The following is an 18,589-nucleotide window of genomic DNA, read 5'->3' as shown; positions in this document are numbered from 1 at the left end:
AGGGCCATATCAATCTTCTTAAAACACCTGCATTTTTCTCTGCTCTTCATGAAGCTAAAAAAGGGTCTTGGCCGGGCACAGTGGCTCACGCCTATAAACCCAGCACTTTGGGAGGCCAAGGCAGGTGGATTGGATCACTTGAGGTCAGGAGTTCGAGACCAGCCTGGCCAACAATGGTGAAACCTCGTCTCTGCTAAAAATAAAAAAATTAACCAGGCGTGGTGGCATGCGCCTGTAATCATAGCTACTCCAGGGGTTGAGGCAGGAGAATCACTTGAACCCGGAAGGCGGAGGTTGCAGTGAGCTGGGATTGCACCATTGCACTCCAGCCTGGGTGACAGACAGAGCAAGACTCCATAAAAAAAAAATAAATAAAATAAAATAAAATAAAATAAATAAATAAAAACAGGGTCTCTTGAAGCTGGGCATGAAAAAGTCCTTGCCAGTCAGTCAAGCACTGCAACGCTCACAGCCCCTTCTAGTGCCCTGCCCCACTCTCTCTCTGGAGGACTCTGCTGCCCATCTGTGCCTGTCACCAGGTGGTGGTCCTGCCCTGCTGGCCCGGTGAGAGCTGGGGGTGTTGACGTCAATCCCCCTGCCTCTGACACCTCAGTTCTCATCCCTGTTGTGAATTTAGCTCAAAAACTTTCAACAATTATGGAATCAGAGTTTAAATTCTTTAGCCTGATGACCAAGTCACAGCCAAAATATTAAAGGAGAAAGCAGTGTCTCCTGGGGTCTGGTAGTATTCGTAATGGTAACTGATGGGCTATCCCTATGAGAGAAAGTAACTTTGAGGGAATAAGAGTCCGGGTCTCTTATTAGTGGGAGCTAAATCTTGGATTCACATGGACATAAAGATGGGAACAACTGACACTGAGGACTCCAAAAGGAGGGAGATAGGGAAGGGGGCAAAGCGTGAAAAACTTTCTATTGGGTGGTATGTTCACTGTCTGAGTGACAGGATCAATGGAAGCCCAAACCTCAGCACCGCACAATATACCCTGTAACAAACCTGCACATGGACCTCCTGAATCTAAAATATGAATGGAAACAAAAAAAAAGTCAGGGTTTCTAAGTCTAGATTCCATTGCCTGAGAGTGTGGTATGATTTTTCCGGAAAACAGTGGATTTTCTTTATTCTTTCATTTTTTAAGGTTCTATGATTCTTTTTAAATGCTTACTGTATATACTGTTCACATCATTCGTTCAGCAGGCAGACATATAATGATCTTATTCTAATTTTTCATGACATTCACCTTTTATTCCTGATTAGATTAATAAATCTCAGCATTTTGTATTTCTTACAACCCACTGTGCTTAAATGGGTGTTAAAAAATACTTGTTGAGTAAATGGATGAATAGATCACTAAGTATGAATCACTGATATAGCACTCACCTCGAATTGGAAGACCTGAGGCAAACACCCCAGCTTACCTTTCAAGGACAGCTCTGGTTTCTTTTAATGTTCATTGAGCTAATTATCTCAAGGTCAGTGAAGTTTGACAGAAGGAAAAAGATTATCCTAAACAATGGAGTTGTGTTTGATAGGTTAGTGCAGAGGCTCAGCTACTTGCTATAGAATCTTGAACAAATTACTTAATCCACTTGAACCTTATTTATCTATGAAATTAATTCATTTTAAAGAGTCAATGCAGTATAGTGAAAAGAGCATCAAACGTAAGTCAAAACAGCAGGCGATCCAAGAGAGATGGAGATAGAGATGGGGATAGACATAGACATAGACATACAGATGCAGATACAGATGGATGGGGATAGGGTACTGAAGACTGAGGCTGCAGTCTTTTATAATCTAAGAATCTTGGAAGTGATCTGCCATTATTTGTGCTGTATACTGTCAATCATAGAGAACAACCTTGGTACAGTGTGGGTGCAAATTACACAGGGACGTGAATACTTGAGACAAGGATTATTGGGGGCCATCTTGGAGGCTGCTACCACAGTGTTCAATAACTGAATTGAAAATATTCCCAAGTACTGTTCTTACCCTTTCTTGTCTCCTATGATTGTCTTCCCTGACAGAGTATAAACTCCTTATTCTCCATGATGTCCTTATATGCCAGGAACATGCTATATGTGTGCCCAATATTTGTTGACATGAATGAATGGGTGCTATATGTTATCCATGTTTCAGCTCTTTTTTTTTTTGAGATGGAGTTTCGCTCTGTCACCCAAAGTGGAGTGCAGTGGCGCAATCTCGGCTCATTGCAATCTCTGCCTCCTGGGTTCACGCCATTCTCCTGCCTCAGCCTCCCAAGTAGCTGGGACTACAGGCGCAAGTCACCATGCCTGGCTAATTTCTTTTGTATTTTAGTAGAGACGGGGTTTCACCATGTTGACCAGGCTGGTCTCGAACTCCTGAGCTCAGGCAATCTGCCTGCCTCAGCCTCCCAAAGTGCTAAAATTACAGACATGAGCCACTGCGCCCAGCCAGCTCTTTTTTTTCCGATGAGATGCAAGGAAACTTAAAGAGCCTCTAGTATATCTTTTTTTTTTTTTTTTTGTCTCCCAGGCTGGAGTGTAGTGGTACAATCTCGGCTGACTGCAACCTCTGCCTCTTAAGTTCAAGCAATTCTCCTGCCTCAGCCTCCCGAGTAGCTGGGATTATAGGTGTGTGCCACTATGCCCTGGCTAATTTTTGTGTTTTTAGTAGAGGCCGGGTTTTGCCATATTGGCCAGGCTGGTCTTGAACTCGTGCCCTCAAGTGATCTGCTTGCCTCAGCCTCCCAAAGTGCTGGGATTACAGGCGTGAGCCACTGCACCCGGTCTACCTTATCTTTTTACAGATGTGGAAACCAAGGTCTACAGAGGTCCCCTTATTTGTCAGCAGTGCAGCTAAGTCTAGAATCTGGTCTCTAAACTCCCAATTCTCTGGACTTTCTACTTCATTCTTTCTTAGCTTCAGTCTTTGTAACTTGAAATTACCCTTGACACAGAATTTAGTAGCTCTGTTAATAAATCATCTGCCTCTGCAGCTCTGCCTTTTGTCCTATTTGGCCTTAGTTCCACTTTTATTGAAATATTTGGTAATGCTTTCATCTGATTTTCCTTCTATATTACAATTTTCTCTTTCTGTTCACCTTCTGGTTTCCTGGCCCTAACCCTAAATGTAGTGAATGGCCAAGGTTTCATGAATATTAAGATCTAATATTTATGTGCACTATCATCTTCCATGCTCTGTTTATTTTTTTATTCTTGTGACACAGTTAATAATTATGCATCTGAAATGGCTGCAAGTTTAAAAAGCAAAAGGAAAAATTCTTTTGCAATAGGTCTTACTTAATTTACAGGTCTCATTTTTGCTTCATTTCTCCGTTTCTTTCCCTTATCTAGCACTAGCCTCATTAAAAACTTTTATATGAGAGATTAGCATTTTTAAAGTCAAGATCTCTCTTCTATACTTATGTTTGAAAAGGCCTCCTCCACTCTTTCTTCTTGGGTGATGGCACTTTGAACATAAAGCTAGTATAGTATGGGCCTCAATGCATTGGTATTTCCATGTTTATCTCCTCTGCCAGACTGAGCACCTTGAGGGTAGGCATTGTGTCTTAGTAATTTTTGTATACTTTAGTATCTCACAGTATAGCTCCTAAGAGGATCTCCATACATAGTTGTCAAGTGGAATCAACCAACCCTTCATATAATTTCAAATACATTAGATGAAACCATCCTTTTCCCAATAGTGATCGTTCTTCTATAACATATTCTTGCATTTCAGTTGAAGACAGGGATGTCCCCCGACCCCCCTACTCTGCCCAGGCTATCCTATGCTATCCCTTGAGTATCCCGTATCCCTAAGTCTGACCTGAGCAGAGCTACTTGAAAGTCTTCCTTTCCTGGAAAATGTGGTTTGAAGTGTGCCAGGAAAATCTCTCTCCCATGTGTATGGTCCTTTTTTGAATAAATCCAAACCCATTCTCATTTGGGGCTTGAAAACTTTTTAGCTTTCAAAAGCCTGCTTTGGAAATCCAGATGTCTCAAGGGAAGGCAGAAACTTGTCTCTCATCTGCTGACACCTTAGCAGCAATAACATTTCAGCAGAAAGTGCTGTGAGCAGCAGTTGGTAAAAAGTGGAGAGAAGCAGAAAAATGCCTTTTGTTCTTTCCCACCTGCTCTGGCTTTCTGGTGTTTGCTTTTTCTCAAGCATTTTTCTTTTCTGTTTTCTCTTCTCTTCTCTTTTTTCTTTTCTTTTCTTTTCTTTCTTTTTTTTTTGAGACTGAGTCTAACTCTATCTCCCAGGCTGGAGTGCAGTGGTGCGATCTCAGCTCACTGCAACCTCTGCCTCCTGGGTTCAAGTGATTCTCGTGCCTCAGCCTCCTGGGTAGCTGGGATTACAGTCACCTGCCACGATGCCCTGCTAATTATTATTATTATTATTTTTTGTATTTTTAGTAGAGACAAGGTTTCTACATGTTGGTCAGGCTGGTCTCAAACTCCTGACCTCAAGTGATCCACCTGCCTCAGCCTCCCAAAGTTCTGGAATTACAGGTGTGAGCCAGCACGCCCGGCCATGTATATTTCTTGAGCTCATATCCGAAGATGGAAAATTAGCCATGACACTCCCATGGGCTATTCGGCTTTGGGGGCCAGGGCAGCTTGGAGGGTCACCCTGTTACACACAGCTTTAGCCCTGCTAAGAGGGGCTGTAGGGACCCTTTTGCCCAGCAGAGGGTACTGTCTGTGCTGGCAGCCTCTCTCACTGTGGATGGTCCCGGCTCAACCGTGCTAAAGTTAGCTGCTGGTTTGAAAATTTTATTTGTTTCTGGTTTGTGACACAGTGCAACCCAAAACAGGATGACAAATGTTTACTCTTTAAATTACAGGTTAAAATCTTTAAAATCATTTTTGAGAGTTTAATTTTTGCCCCCTAAATCCTCCGATGGAGTTACAGACTCAGGTGATGTCAGGAAACAAGATTGAGTGTTGACTCTCTGCTCTCTTTTCTTTTGTAGCAAGCAGGTATGTTTGCTGCCCCTTATTCTTCTAGCTGAGTCTTCACCCTCATTTAGGCCACCCCCAGAGCAAGGGTGGATGTGGGGTCCCAGGAAGAGGTTGTATGTCCTTAAGGATTTGGGTGTTTTCCGACGGAGCACACTCATGGTAGATCATCTCTCTGGTCTTCAGGAGGACTTTGCTTAAGTCACAGTCCAGGTGAGAAGTATGGGGTTGGATGTGGTCTTCCAAGGGGGCCTTCATGACTCACATCGGTCGTTCCAGGCACATCCGAGGCCTTCCCAGGATGATGAGTGTATCTGTGCAATGACTGACCTATGACTAGCCTATTATCACTGATACCCCTTGGGCAAACCTAGCAGCCAGCAGTAGGTCAACAACCAAACAGAACTTCAGACAGCCTTTCACTTGTACCTTAGAACTTCCGACCTGCTATTCTTGGGAATCGCTCTGGGGTAGACATGAGATCCTCACCCCCTTGGCTTCTCAGAAATTGCTCTCCAGTTTTATTTAGACTGTATGAAGCAGGAACTGACAGAGCTGCCTAATGCTTCTTAGCATGCAATGTTATTACAAATATAATGGCGTTCAATTTAAAAATAAAATACATTTTCTACTTTGCAACCCTTCTGTTCTCTTTCATTTAGCTGTTTAATAATGTCAAATGCTTAGAACCCAGATTAGAGATTCTTACAATAGTCTCTGATTAAACCCTAATAAAAGCACAGTCAGGAAAATTCATAATATAAGGCATGCTAACTAACTTTTGGAAGCTCAATTTATATTTTGTAAGGCTAAGACTAATTTGAGGATTATGTTTTAAACTAAAAAGCTTTATGGGTACTTAGGCAAAATACTAGTAATAATAAATGAAATAACCCAAAACTTGGGTAGTTTTGTTCCTTCATTGACTAATTGCTTTTACTCCGTTTACTTTCAAAACATTATTTGAGAAAATGTACCATAATTCTTTAGAGCACTGAAGTAAAAATGCAAACATAAGGGCCAAGCAGTGAAGGACATTGAATAATTATTCCAGAAAACTCAAGTTTAAGGGAAATGTTTGCTTTTTTTTTTTTTTTTTTTTTTTTTGAGACAGGGTCTCACTCTGTCACCCAGGCTGGAGTGTAGTGGCATGATCTGGGCTCACTGCAGTCTCTGCCTCCTGGGTTCAAGTGATTCTCCTCCTTCAGCCTCCTGAGTAGCTGGGATTACAGGTGCCCATCACTATGCTTGGCTGATTTTTGTATTCTTAGTAGAAATGGGGTTTTGTCATGTTGGCCAGGCTGGTCTTGAACTCCTGGTCTTAGGTGATCCATCCACCTCAGCTTCCCAAAGTGTTGGGATTACAGGTGTGAGCCACTGCGCCCAGCCAGGAAATGTCTACTTTTAAGTCCAAGACTTAATTCTGGATTTTCTTAGAGCCAGGGAAACAAGGGAATCAGTTTGGGTTATCTAGCTCTCATATCTAATATGAGTAAACATACTGCACAAATGTCTTACTGGAATTAAATTCAAAAAAATTATGTTGTAAATCTTTGCAGATGTTGGTATACATAGTGGACATATCTTCAACAAAACAAGGTGTTCTTTATTTAGCATTATCTACACCAGTTTCTGATAGAAAAATGAGGGCATAGTATTAAGTCATAGTTTGTGAAGCCATTTCTATAAAGAACTAGAGCAGTATTCAGGTATATGACTTTCCAGTGAAGTGACATGACATAGCTTGGAAATTCTAAAAGAAAAACAAGAAGAATGAAAAGTTAAAATTCCTATAGTCTATCTTTCTTAAGCATCAGTGGTCAGAACTGGGTTTTTGTTAGGAACTTATAAAAGGTACTTCATAATTAAGGTCTCCTGAACTCCAGATATCTTGTGTGGGTTGAAATAATAATCATATACTTTAGAGATGTGGTGAGTAGATGTCTTATGATCCATTTGAAAGACCTTGACTTTGTATCCTGATGAAGGACCACACTCCAACTCTGAATAAATGGAAAAATACCTGCAAAAATACTAATAAAGCACCCCACAGACTGCCTGGTACTTAGAAGGCACTCAGTAAGTGTGAGTGCCCCATTAGGCAGGCAGTTAGCTATGGGCCCTGAGCATTCCTACACATTCTTGCAAAATGGCTCACCTACCTCCTGATGCTGAACAGTTCTGTAGCTAGTCACAGGCAAGTAAGCAAGTTTAGCTGACCACAGTGTGACCACCCTGTAACTGCTTGCGCCCTAGGAGGAGGGGGACTAACTTATTTTTTGCTTGCTACAATGTTTGCTGCTTGAGGGAACATTTCCGGATGCTAGGACTTGGGCTCCTCTCCTATAAGGCACCCCATTGTGTGAGCAGGTATTATTGGGTCCCGTCATGTCACCCCTGTTGGACTTGGGGACAAGGGAAACTGTGTAGATATGCTGATGCTCATGTTGCCCACTGAGGAATAAAGTCCTTTGTCTTTGATCCACACATCATCTTCTGTCCATTAAACTGTAGACTACCTTGTTAGCTTTCAAGCAGGGTAAAATTTCTGACTCTTTGCAGCTTGTGACAGCGGTTTCCTAAGCCATCAAACCCAATCTTCCTTCTCTTCAGATGGCCTCTTTGAGGCAGATTCATTATCATCACTAGCTCTAAGAGTGTTTTCTCCAACCAATAAGCTTCTGTTTACTTTCTCTACAATCACAATGAGCAGGAATCATATTATTCAGCTTAGATAAGAATTGTGTGGCTGGGTGTGGTGACTCACACCTGTAATCCCAGCACTTTGGGAGGTTGAGGCGGGCAGATTACTTGAGGCCAGCAGTTAGAGACCAGCCTGGGCAGCATGGAGAAACCCCGTCTCTACTAAAAATACAAAAATTAGTCACACGTGGTGGCGTACGCCTGTAATCCTAGCTACTCCAGAGGCTGAGGCACGAGACTCGCTTGAACCTGGGAGGCAGAGGCTGCAGCGAGCTGAGATTGTGCCACTGCACTCCAGCCTGGGTGACAGAGTGAGACTGTCTCAAAAAATAAAAAAAGAAAAAAGAATCGTGACAGTATGAGAGTCCCTGGGTGGGACATAAGATCCGTAAATATTCCTGTAGAAACAATAATAGTAAAAATAGTAATAACAATTAAATTACTATCATGAAGAAATTGATGTTCAGAGAGATTGTGCAGCTTCTCCAAGGTCACACAGCACATGAATGGCAGAAAGAAAATTAAAACCTACATCTGCTGATTCTTAGCCATTATTCTGTATTATTTCCTCATTAATAGTTTCCACTGCAGTTTTATATATATGCCTATATGTATGTGGTTCTTACTCTGACATCTTATTTGCCCTTGCTAGGGATCAGCAATCTTTTTAAAAATCTAGGACCAGTTCAAGATTTAATCACAGTGCCTGTGTTGTCTCCTTTCTTCTTCAGTACTATCTTCTTACAAATTGGCTTGAGTCTCCTTTAGTTTGCTTTGGGCTGGTGATTTAAACAAGTGATGGTAGAACCAAGGAAGTTACAGAGGTACAACACCCTAGGGAATCCTTAGTATTTACTTGTAATGACCAGTGAAGTTTAATTTTTTTTTTTTTTAGAGGTGGGGTCTTACTCTGTTGCCCAGGCTGGCCTTGGACTCCTGGGCTCATGGATTCCTGCTGCTTCAGCCTCTGGAGTAGCTGGGACTATAGGCATGCACCACTGTGCCCAGCCAAATTAGAAATGTTCTTAATATTTCAAATATTATTGTTGCTCCTCTTATTTTAAATTTAATTTATGTTATTGTTGCTCCCCTTATTTTAAATTTCTCTTAGTTATCTTTTTCTGACTTTTTTGGCTGCTTGTCTGTGTCTGCACATCCTGCACAATGTTGAAATTGTTCCGTTGATGGTTGAGAGATGAGTCCCTTTATCTATGATATTGGGAAAAGTTACTGAGCTGTCCACATGATAGACCTGGTGTTTGTGTAGAAGGACCGGTTCCTTGATGCCCCATTTGGAAGAATACCTCTAACTCTAAACAGAAACAGAACTTTCCCTCATTGTCCTTCCTATTTTTCACTTTGATGTAGTCCACAGCCACAACTTGACTAACAACTCCTACCTCCAAGGCTGCAGGTGTCCCAGACAGATTCCTTGGAACTGGTGCAGTGCAATAATTTCTTATGGCCTGATTGTAGATTATAAAACCAGCAAACGAATAATAATATTGATAATTATAATTACTACTACAACAACTACCACCACATTTGTTGAATATTGATTATTGACAAGGCTCAATGATAAAGGTATAGTATCTCATTTAACCCTTTTACCACTGTATCTAAGCTGGGTCGTGTTATGATTGACCCCATTTTACAAATAAGGGAATTGAGGTTTAGAGAGTTGACGTAGTTTCCCAAACCTGTTCAGCTGTCATGTGGCAAAAGAAGAATTTCATCGCAGGTGTTCAGGTGTCAGAGCCTTCCTCAAATGTTAGACCCACCATGCTCTAAAGGAGAGGTTCACAAAGTGTGGTTCTAAGAACAGCAGCATCAGCATTGCCTGGTAGCTTGTTATTAATGCAAATTTTGGGGCCTTATCTCATATTCACTGAATAAAAAGCTCCAGGGGCGAGGCCCGCAATCTGTTTAAATAAGTCTTCCCAGTTGACTCTGTTGTCTATTAGAGTTTTACAGTCATGGCTCTAAACTCTAAAGCTTTCTCCTCTCCATATAGATATCTAATGTCAGTTCCATGAATGTTGATAATAAGAAATAATTTACTTAAAAAAAGTATGTTTGTTAAAATACAGATTGCCATATACATATATCTGTAAAATATTCTTGACAACCCCCCTCACCCTACTCCTGCATGAAGCCTGAATCAGATGAAGCCTCCAGCTCTAACTGTCAGTTTACAGGCAATACAGAGGACAGAGGAACATGTTACACAACACCAAGGGAATGCAATCAGCAAAATCCAGACTGTGAGAAATTTTGCAGGATTAACGACCTGGTTTCTTCAAAAGATAAACTGCAATGAAGGAAGATTTGTATGAGAAATGCATTAAATGAGACTTAAGAGACATTAACCAAATGCAGTGTTTGGATCCCACTTAAAATAAAAAACAAGCAAAATAATATAAAAATTTTATAGGACAATCAAGTAGTTAGGGACATTTAAATGCTAATTGGATATTTAATGATGATAATGAATTAATGTTAGTTTTTAAAGATATAATTTTTTAAAGCTATGTGGTTATATTTTTTAAAAAAATCTTCAAACTTTTTTTTTTTTAAGTCTTCAAGCATACTAGAGCATTTACTGAAATAGAAGTTCCTGGGGTCAAGTTACTAGATTTAGTAAACACTGTGTTATGGCTGCCTCCTTAGCACATTCTCCCTTCTCCTGGTACCTACCCAGATTTTTATTTAAGTATTCGTACCCCTCGGCCCTGCTAAGTCCAAAGGGTGAGATATGTAGTTCATGCTTAATTTAGCTCAATCCTAAGCGTTAGCTACAATTTCTAGTTTGAAAAGGTGCCCTTTTGGCAGGAAGAACATTTTCTGTAAAATTCTGGGAAAGAAGTTTTCATTTTTTTTTTTTTTAACTCCGGGAAGCAACCCAAACTTGCTTCTCTAGGACATAGATGGTATAGCCAGTTCATAAGAGGGTCTCTTGGTATTCATGACCTTGGTATTCAGTGTAGTCTCCGCCTACACTGAATTAGGGCTGACCTGTGTGAGCAAGAGAGAATACTGTGGAAGTGATGGCAGATGGCTTCTGAGGCTAAAAGACATTTGCAATTTTCTTCATGCTGTCTTGGGTTTCTTGCTCCAGGGAAAGCCAGCTGCCATGTCACAAAGACCCTTGAAGCTGGTGGAGAATCCCACATAGACAGAAACCAGTTTGCTAGCATTAGCCTAACAGCCACATGAAAGAACCACCTTGGAAGTGAATCCCCTGTTCCTAGAAAGGTCTTCAGTGTCTTCAACTTCAGCTGATATCTGATTGCAACCTCATGAGAATGCCTAATCAGAATCCCACAGCTGAACCAGTCCAGAATTTCATAAACACATTGCCTACAAGAAACAACAGATGATTATTGTTGTTTTAGGATACTAAGTTTGGTGTAATTTGTCCTGCAAAAATCAATAATGAATGCAATACATGAAAAAATTGTAGCCCAGAGAGTTGGAAGTAGGCATTTTGTGACCACGGTGGGTTGAGGGGAGCCAATTTAGGGTGAAGCTTACATTTTGGGAGGCAAAGCAGAGAGACTGGAAGGAAATTGATTCCTCATCGTCATCAGTGAAACCCATCTCACTTCTGTGCTTTCCAGGTCATGAGCAATAAGTTTCTTTTATTGTTAAAGCCAATTTGGGTTTCAATTACTTTTAAATGCCTGATTGGAGCAGGAGATATGAGAATTTTGGTGGTGTAAGTGGACTACATGGACAGCATGATAATAAATGAAAGAAATCATAAGTGAATAAAAAAGTGATTCTGAATGGGTAGGCTATTGTATTAGTTTCCCAGGGCTGCTGTAGCAAATCAGCACAGACTGGATGACTTAATGCAACAGCATTTTATATTCTCATCAGAGTTCTAAAAGGCAGAAGTCCAAAATCTAGGCAGGGTTGGTTCCTCCTGAAGACTCTGAGGGAGAATCTCTGTCCTTGCCTCTGTCCTAGCTTCTGGTGGTTGCCAGCAATCCTTGGAGTTCCTCTGCTTATGGCTGCATCACTCCAGTCTCTGTTTCTGTCACTGATGTGGTCTTTGTCCTCGTGCAAGTTGACATAGATTTCTTATAAGGACTCTGCTCACTGGATTTAGGACACATCCGAATCCAGTAGGACCTCATTTTAACTAATTACATCTGCAAAGATCCTGTTTCCAAAGAAGCTCCCATTCTGAGTTCTGGGCAGACCTGAATTTCTGAGGGACACTATTCAATCCAGTACAGTGATAACTTACAGTGTTCATTGACTGAACAGATACTTATTGAGTGTCTACTGTGTGCTAGACCCTGGGTTAGTCAGTAGAGATAGTGTGAACAAGACAGATGTGACACATGTTTTATATAGAGCTTACAGTCCTTACAGTCCAGTATAGAAGACAGATATTAAGCAAATGGTTGCAAGTGTAATAAAAGTTACAAAAGAAGGAGCACTAGAATGTGATAGTATCACCTGAGAAGAGACCTAAACTATCTGAGGTGGGAGTGGTGAGGGTAGTCAAAAAGGCCTCCTTGTGGAAGGGACATCTAAGCTAAAACCAAGCAGAAAATAGGGATTAGCTTGGTGAAGAGTGTAAAGACCAGATTATTACAAACCAATGCTGTGTATGAGAATTTGCATTTTTAACAAGCACTTCAGTAATGTGCCCACATGCTGGACTTTGAGAACCCTTGCTCTGGGACCTCAGCTGACCTGAAATAGATCCATATCTCCCCAACAACTACTCACGAAAAAGACCACTCCTCCTCTGCTCTCTCACTCAGCCCTGTGAACCAGGCCAGGGTGAGGACACCCCTGAGAACTGGACTCCCTCCCTATTGGGACACTTGGGCCCCCTTCCCACCACTGTGCTGAATCAACTAAATAAAACACATGGCTTATATCTGGTTTAGATTTTTCTCCTTCTTCGGTGAGCATTTTCCAACTTTTCCCTGCCTCCAACTCTGTTCTATTTTCTGCCACATAGCAAGCCTATTGCTTTGCATTTCAGTTGATAATTTATTTGCCATTGAATTGCAGAAGTTCACCTTTCTCTTAAAAGCATCTCAAGTGTATGTTGCACTAATTCAGTGTTTTATATGAAGAAAAGGTGTTGACATTTTCTTCATTTCTCATTTTCATCAACTGAAACAGTTTTTAAAAACAGTATCTTTCCTTTGGAATAGGAGATAGAGAAAGTCCAGAATAACAATTCCCAAATATCCAACTGAAAAAAATTTTAACAATTGGGGCTGTTTCTCAGGAACAATAGTAGATTCTTACCACTTGATTCCTTTGCAAGGTTGGTGAAACTGACATTTAAACTGATAATGATCAGAGATTTTAGAGCTTTAGAGAGTCTTGGAGGTCACTGAAATTCTGAAAGACCATAATCTCCTTTATTTTACAGTTGAGGAAAATTAAAACTGAAGGAGGTAAGATGAGTTACACAGTCAGTCTCACCAGATAACTCCAAACTCCTCTTATTCCTCAAGACCTGTTATTTGGTTTATTTTCAGTGACTTAGATTCTCCACCTTACTTGGTAGCTAGGCTACTTATGCCTAAGCCACATGCTCAAGGTTTCTCCTCCTCATTTGTTGCCACTTAACCCGTAAGAAACCCAGCGCCTTCCTCATGCAGTGGCCCAGGTCTCAGAGAAATGAGGGTCATCCCTCATATCAGAACTAGGGAACCGGCCTCACACTAGAGCTCTGGCTTTTGAGTCTTTTTCAAAAGGTTATACATGCCTTAGACACACAGAAAAGAAAAAAAATATTTGAAAGCCGTTTTCATTCGTTGTCTCCAGTCTAAAAATAGGGTGACAGAGGGATCGTGGGATAAGCAGCCGGAGCAGGGAAGAGTCGGTTGCCACAGTAACCAATGAGCCATTTCGCCGCATTTGCCTTGACTGTGTGATTTCTGGGATGTTTTTTCCCCCTTTCCTTCTCTTGTGCGTGGGGGTGGGGGTAGGTGGTGGGGGCATTTTTAGATTATATAATGTGGAACCAGATTCCTTACCTCCGGAGTCAACCAGTCTTCATGAAATTGCTATTCCCTTTTACATCTCCCTCCCACTGCAAACAGCCTAGGTTCAGTTGGCTTTCACTGGGGACCAAGAGAAAAGATTAGGATCACACCCATCTCTAAGTACAGTAGTACCTTTCTTGAACACCTCTCCAATTTTTGACAGCCTAGCTTCATAGAAATATTTCTTGCTCCCTTCCCCCCAGTCAGGTTCTCAAATGTCACAGGCTCCAGGAGCCCACTGGGAGACTACTGGGGCTCTCCCTGTTCCAGAGCAAAGAGGGTTGGCCCTACATGAGGTTGCAGTCTGTGAAGTTGCTCTGAGGCTGACCTGGTTCTCTTGCCTCAAGAGAGCACCTCTCTTACCTCAAGCTCCATCCTCTCCCAACCTGTACATCCTGGGATCTGGACACAGGCCCATTTTATAGTGTAAACAGCACTGGCTTTGGAGGCAGAGACACTTATGTTTGAATCTGGAACCCACTATGACCTTGGGCTAATAATGATTTAATATTTCTGAGCCTGCTAAGAGACAATAGGCACAAAGCAGCCAGCACAGTGTCTGGCACAAGTGAGGCACTGAATAAATGTTAGTCATAGCCACTTCTTCCCCAATTTCCCTGTCCATCACTGCTCTCCTTTCCTCCTCCCTGCTATCATAGGCCTCTGGTAGACCACTGCAGGCTTACTCCCATCAGCATTTGAAACACCTAACGTATGTTTATTTTAGAGATCACTTTTTCCTATATCTCTTTTGATCTCTTTTCCTCTCTACGGTCTTCATTCTCCTGCTGGCTGCCTTGTGTCCTCACATGGCATCTCTCCATACTTAAGACCTTTCCTGGCTTGTTTTCATCAAAACACATCTATATCCCATTTATGAAGAGCCCAGGGGGTTCTTGAATAGCTAATCAGGTTTAAATCAAAATGTAAAAATGTGTTCAATGGACACAAATGAGTTAAAATGACGCAGGACAAGCTCAAATCTTTACTGCTTATTAGGGTGATGAGGTAGGAATGAAAAACTGAATGGGAGTGTATTCATTAGAAATATTTTTTTATTTGCAAATAAAATCCAACCTGAACTCACCTAAGCAAAAAGGGAATATGTTTGCCAAAGTAAGTAGGAAGTCCAGGAGTGAAGCTATCCACAGGGATCCCAGAGATTCAATGACTAGCATCAGAACTCTTTCTTTTGGCTATAGTTTGAATGTTTGGCCCCTTCAAATCTTGTGTTGAAACTTGATCCCCAATGATGGTGGTGTTTGGGTCATGGGGGTGGATCCCTCATGAATGGCTTGGTGCCATTCTCAAGGCAATGAGTGAGTTCTTGTGCTATTAGTTCCATGAGAGCTGGTTGTTAAAAAGAGCCTGGCACCTCCCTCCTCTTTCTCTCATTTTCTCTCTTGCCAGGTGATCTCTGCATGCTGGCTCACTTGGCCTTCTTCCATGAGTGAGAGCATACTGAAGCCCTTACCAGAAGCAAATGCTGGTGCCATGCTTCTTGTACAGTCTGCAGAACTGTGAGCCAAATAAACCTCTTTTCTTTGTAAATTACCCAGACTCAGGTATTCTTTTACAGCAACACAAATGGGCCAAGACAGAAAATTGGTACCAAGAAGTCAGGTATTGCTATACAGATATCTGAAAATGTGGAACTGGCTTTGGAACTGGGTAATAGGCAGAGGTTGGATGATTTTGGAGGGTTCAGAAGAAGACAGGAAGATAAAGGAAGGTTAGGAACTTCTTAGAGATTATTGGTGGTTGTGACCAAAATGCTGACAAAAATGTAAACAGTAAAGGTCATGCTGATGAAGTCTCCGGTAGAAATAAGGAACTTACTGGGAAGTGGAGTCAAGGTCACCCATGTTACTTCATGACAAAGAATTTGGTTGCATTGTGTCCATGCTCTCAGGCTTTGAGGAAGGCCAGACTTAAGAGTGATAGCCTAGAGTGTCTGGTTGAAGAAATTTCAAAGCAGCAAAGCATTCAAGAAGTGGCATGGCTGCTTTTAACAGCTTATATCAGGTATGGGAGGAAGGAAATGACCTAAAGGTGGAATTTATAATTAAAAAGAAAGCAGAGTGTAAAAATCTGGAAAATTCACAGCCTAGCCCTGTATTAGAGAAGGAAAGAGACTTTTCAGGAGAGGAATCCAAGGGTGCTGCAGAGCAACCATTTACTAGAGAGATTAACACGGATGAAAGGGAATCAGGTATTAATAGTTAAGACAATGGAGAAAAGGCCCCCAAAGGCATTTCAAAGATCCTCAGAGCAGCCCCTCCCATCACAGTCTCAGAGGCCTACAAGGCCAGAATCGTTTTAGGGGAATGGCCTTGAGTGCTGCTGTCTTGTACCACCTCCAGATGCTGCTTTCTAAATCCCCGCCACTACAGCTCCAGCCACAACTCAAATGGCTCCAGGTACTGTTTGAGCCACTGCTTGGTGGCTTCCACATGCTTTTAATTCTGCAGGATGCAGAATTCAAGAGCAGAGGCTCTCAACTTCTACCTAGATTTCAGAGGATGTATATAGGAAAACCTGGATGCCCAGGCAGAAGCCTGCTGCAGACTCTAGTAATGCAATGCTGAGCAAAAGTGTGGGGTTTGAGCCCCCATAGAGAGTCCCCATGAGCACACTGTCTAGTGAAGCTGTGGGGGCAGGGCTGCCACCCTCTAGACCCCAGAATTATAGAGCCAGCAGCAGCATGGAATCTCAGCCTGGAAAACCCACAGACATTGGACTTTGACCTGTGTGAGCAGCCACGTAGGCGGCACCCAGCAAAGCCATGGGGACAGTGCTTCACAAGGCCTTGGGAACCCATTCCTCACACTAGTGTGCCCAGGATGCTGGACATGGAGTCAAGGGAGATCATTTTGGAGCTTTAAGATTTAACATCTGCCCTGCTGGGTTTTGGAGTTGTGTGAGGCCTATTACCCCTTTCTTTTGGCCAGCTTATCCCTTTCTTTTGGCCAGCTTATCCCTTTTGTCATGGGAATGTTTGCCCAATGCCTGTATAATCATTGTATCTTGGAAGTAAATAACTTATTTATTTATTTTATGTTTTTTTCAGAGATGAGGTCTCACTGTATTGCCCAGGCTGGAGTGCAGTGGCTATTCACAGGTGCAGTTCTGCTACTGATTAGTGCAAGAGTTTTGACCTGCTCTGTTTATTTTTAGTTTCTTTTTTTATTATGTATGTATGTATGTATGTATGTGTTTATTTATTTAATTATTTATTTTTTTGAGACAGGGTCTTGCTCTGTCGCCTAGGCTGGAGTGCAGTGGTGCGATCTCAGCTCACTGCAACCTCTGCCTCCTGGGTTCAAGCAATTCTCCTGCCTCACCTTCCCAAGTAGCTGGGACTAAAGGTGCATGCTGCCACACCAGGCTAATTTTTTGGTATTTTAGTAGAGACGGGGTTTCACCACGTATCCCTGAGTTTCAAACTCCTGAGCTCAGGAAATCCACCTGCCTCAGTCTCCCAAATTGCTAGCATTACAGGTGTGAGCCACTGCACCTGGCCTCTTTTAATAATTTTTAAAATTATATTTGAACTTGCAGCACTGCATGACCTGCCCTGTTTCTGACCTGGGCTGGTTCACCCCTCCTTAGGCAACCTGGTGGTCCCCTCCTCTCAGGAGGTCACCATATTGATGCTGAACTTAGTGAAGACAACTGATGGGCATAGTGCCCTACAGCCCAGAACTCCTGGGCTCAAGTGGTCCTCCTGCCTCAGCCTCCGAAGTAGCTGGGACTATAGGAACACACCACAAGAACTTATTTTTGATGTTAAGGGCTCACAGCTGTAAGAAACTTGAGTATTATAGGAGACTTTGAACTTCTCAGTTGATGCTGGAACAGGTTAAGACATTTGGGGACTATTGAGAAGGGATGACTTTATTTTGAAATGTGAGAAGGACATGAGATTTGGGGCGCTAGTGGCAGAATTTTATGGTTTTGACGTTCGACTTTTTCAAATCTTATGTTGAAATTTGATCCTCAATCATTGACCAATGTTGGATGTGGGAGCCTAATGGGAGGTGTTTGGGTCATGGGGTGGATCTTTCATGAATGGCTTGGTTCTGTCCTCATGGTAATGAGTTCTTGCTGTATTAGTTCCTGTGGGAACCCACTGTTAAAAAAAGCATAGCACCTTTCTCCTTCTCTCTTACTTCTTCTCTTGCCATGTGATCTTTGAACACACTGGTTCCCATTCCCCTTTCACCATGAGTGGAAGCAGCTTGAAGCTCTCATTAGAAGCAGATGCTGGCACCATGCTTTTTGTATAGTCTGCAGGTCCTTGTGCCAAATAAATCTCTTTTGTTTATTTATAAATTGCCCAGCCTCAGGCATTCCTTTATAGCAACACAAATGGACTAAGACACTGTTCCTTAACTCTGCTTGTCTCCCAGTGGCTTTATCCTTGCTTACCACAGACAGGCTTTCCCCAGACTTATATTTTTCTAGCTTCTGTGACCCAAGAGGTAAGAATTCTTCTCTTCCAACTTCAGATTGCAAAATTCCAGGAAAAGACTTTGGCCTGGTTTGCATCTTAGGTGACTCTGAATCAATCAGAGACCAATCAATCTTTGGCAAAGAGAATGGGATACTATCATTGACCATGTTATGTCTCATGTTGAGGAGGTGACAGTCTGTGGTGAGTAGTCACCAGAATGACATGATTCAAATGGGAGAAGATCAATTTCCCCAAAGAAGATAGAACACTCGTGTAAGGCAGAAATAACAGAAGTTCACTTCAGAAGGTTAACCACAAAAGAACTGCCTGGACACTCAGAAAAGTATCTGTAGAGCTGCAGAGTAGGTACAAAGCAAGTGTCTGAATGACTCTGAAGACAAAGTTCTTGCCCTCAGGGAGCTGTGAATTCAGCGCAGGAGAAAGA

The 18,589-nt window shown here is 42.0% G+C and overlaps 1 annotated feature.

Moving 5' to 3' along the window:
- Positions 15,694-16,313: an enhancer, noted in NCBI's record as "NANOG-H3K4me1 hESC enhancer chr12:14279960-14280579 (GRCh37/hg19 assembly coordinates)". NCBI's record gives its function as "activates a minimal SCP1, AML or CMV promoter by ChIP-STARR-seq in naive and primed H9 embryonic stem cells {active_cell/tissue: H9 hESC(naive and primed)}" and the evidence as "EXISTENCE:reporter gene assay evidence [ECO:0000049][PMID:30033119]".

This window comes from Homo sapiens, chromosome 12 (assembly GCF_000001405.40).
Source record: "Homo sapiens chromosome 12, GRCh38.p14 Primary Assembly".
Taxonomy (NCBI): Eukaryota; Metazoa; Chordata; class Mammalia; order Primates; family Hominidae; genus Homo; species Homo sapiens.
This window is presented reverse-complemented; position numbering and strand designations above follow the sequence as displayed.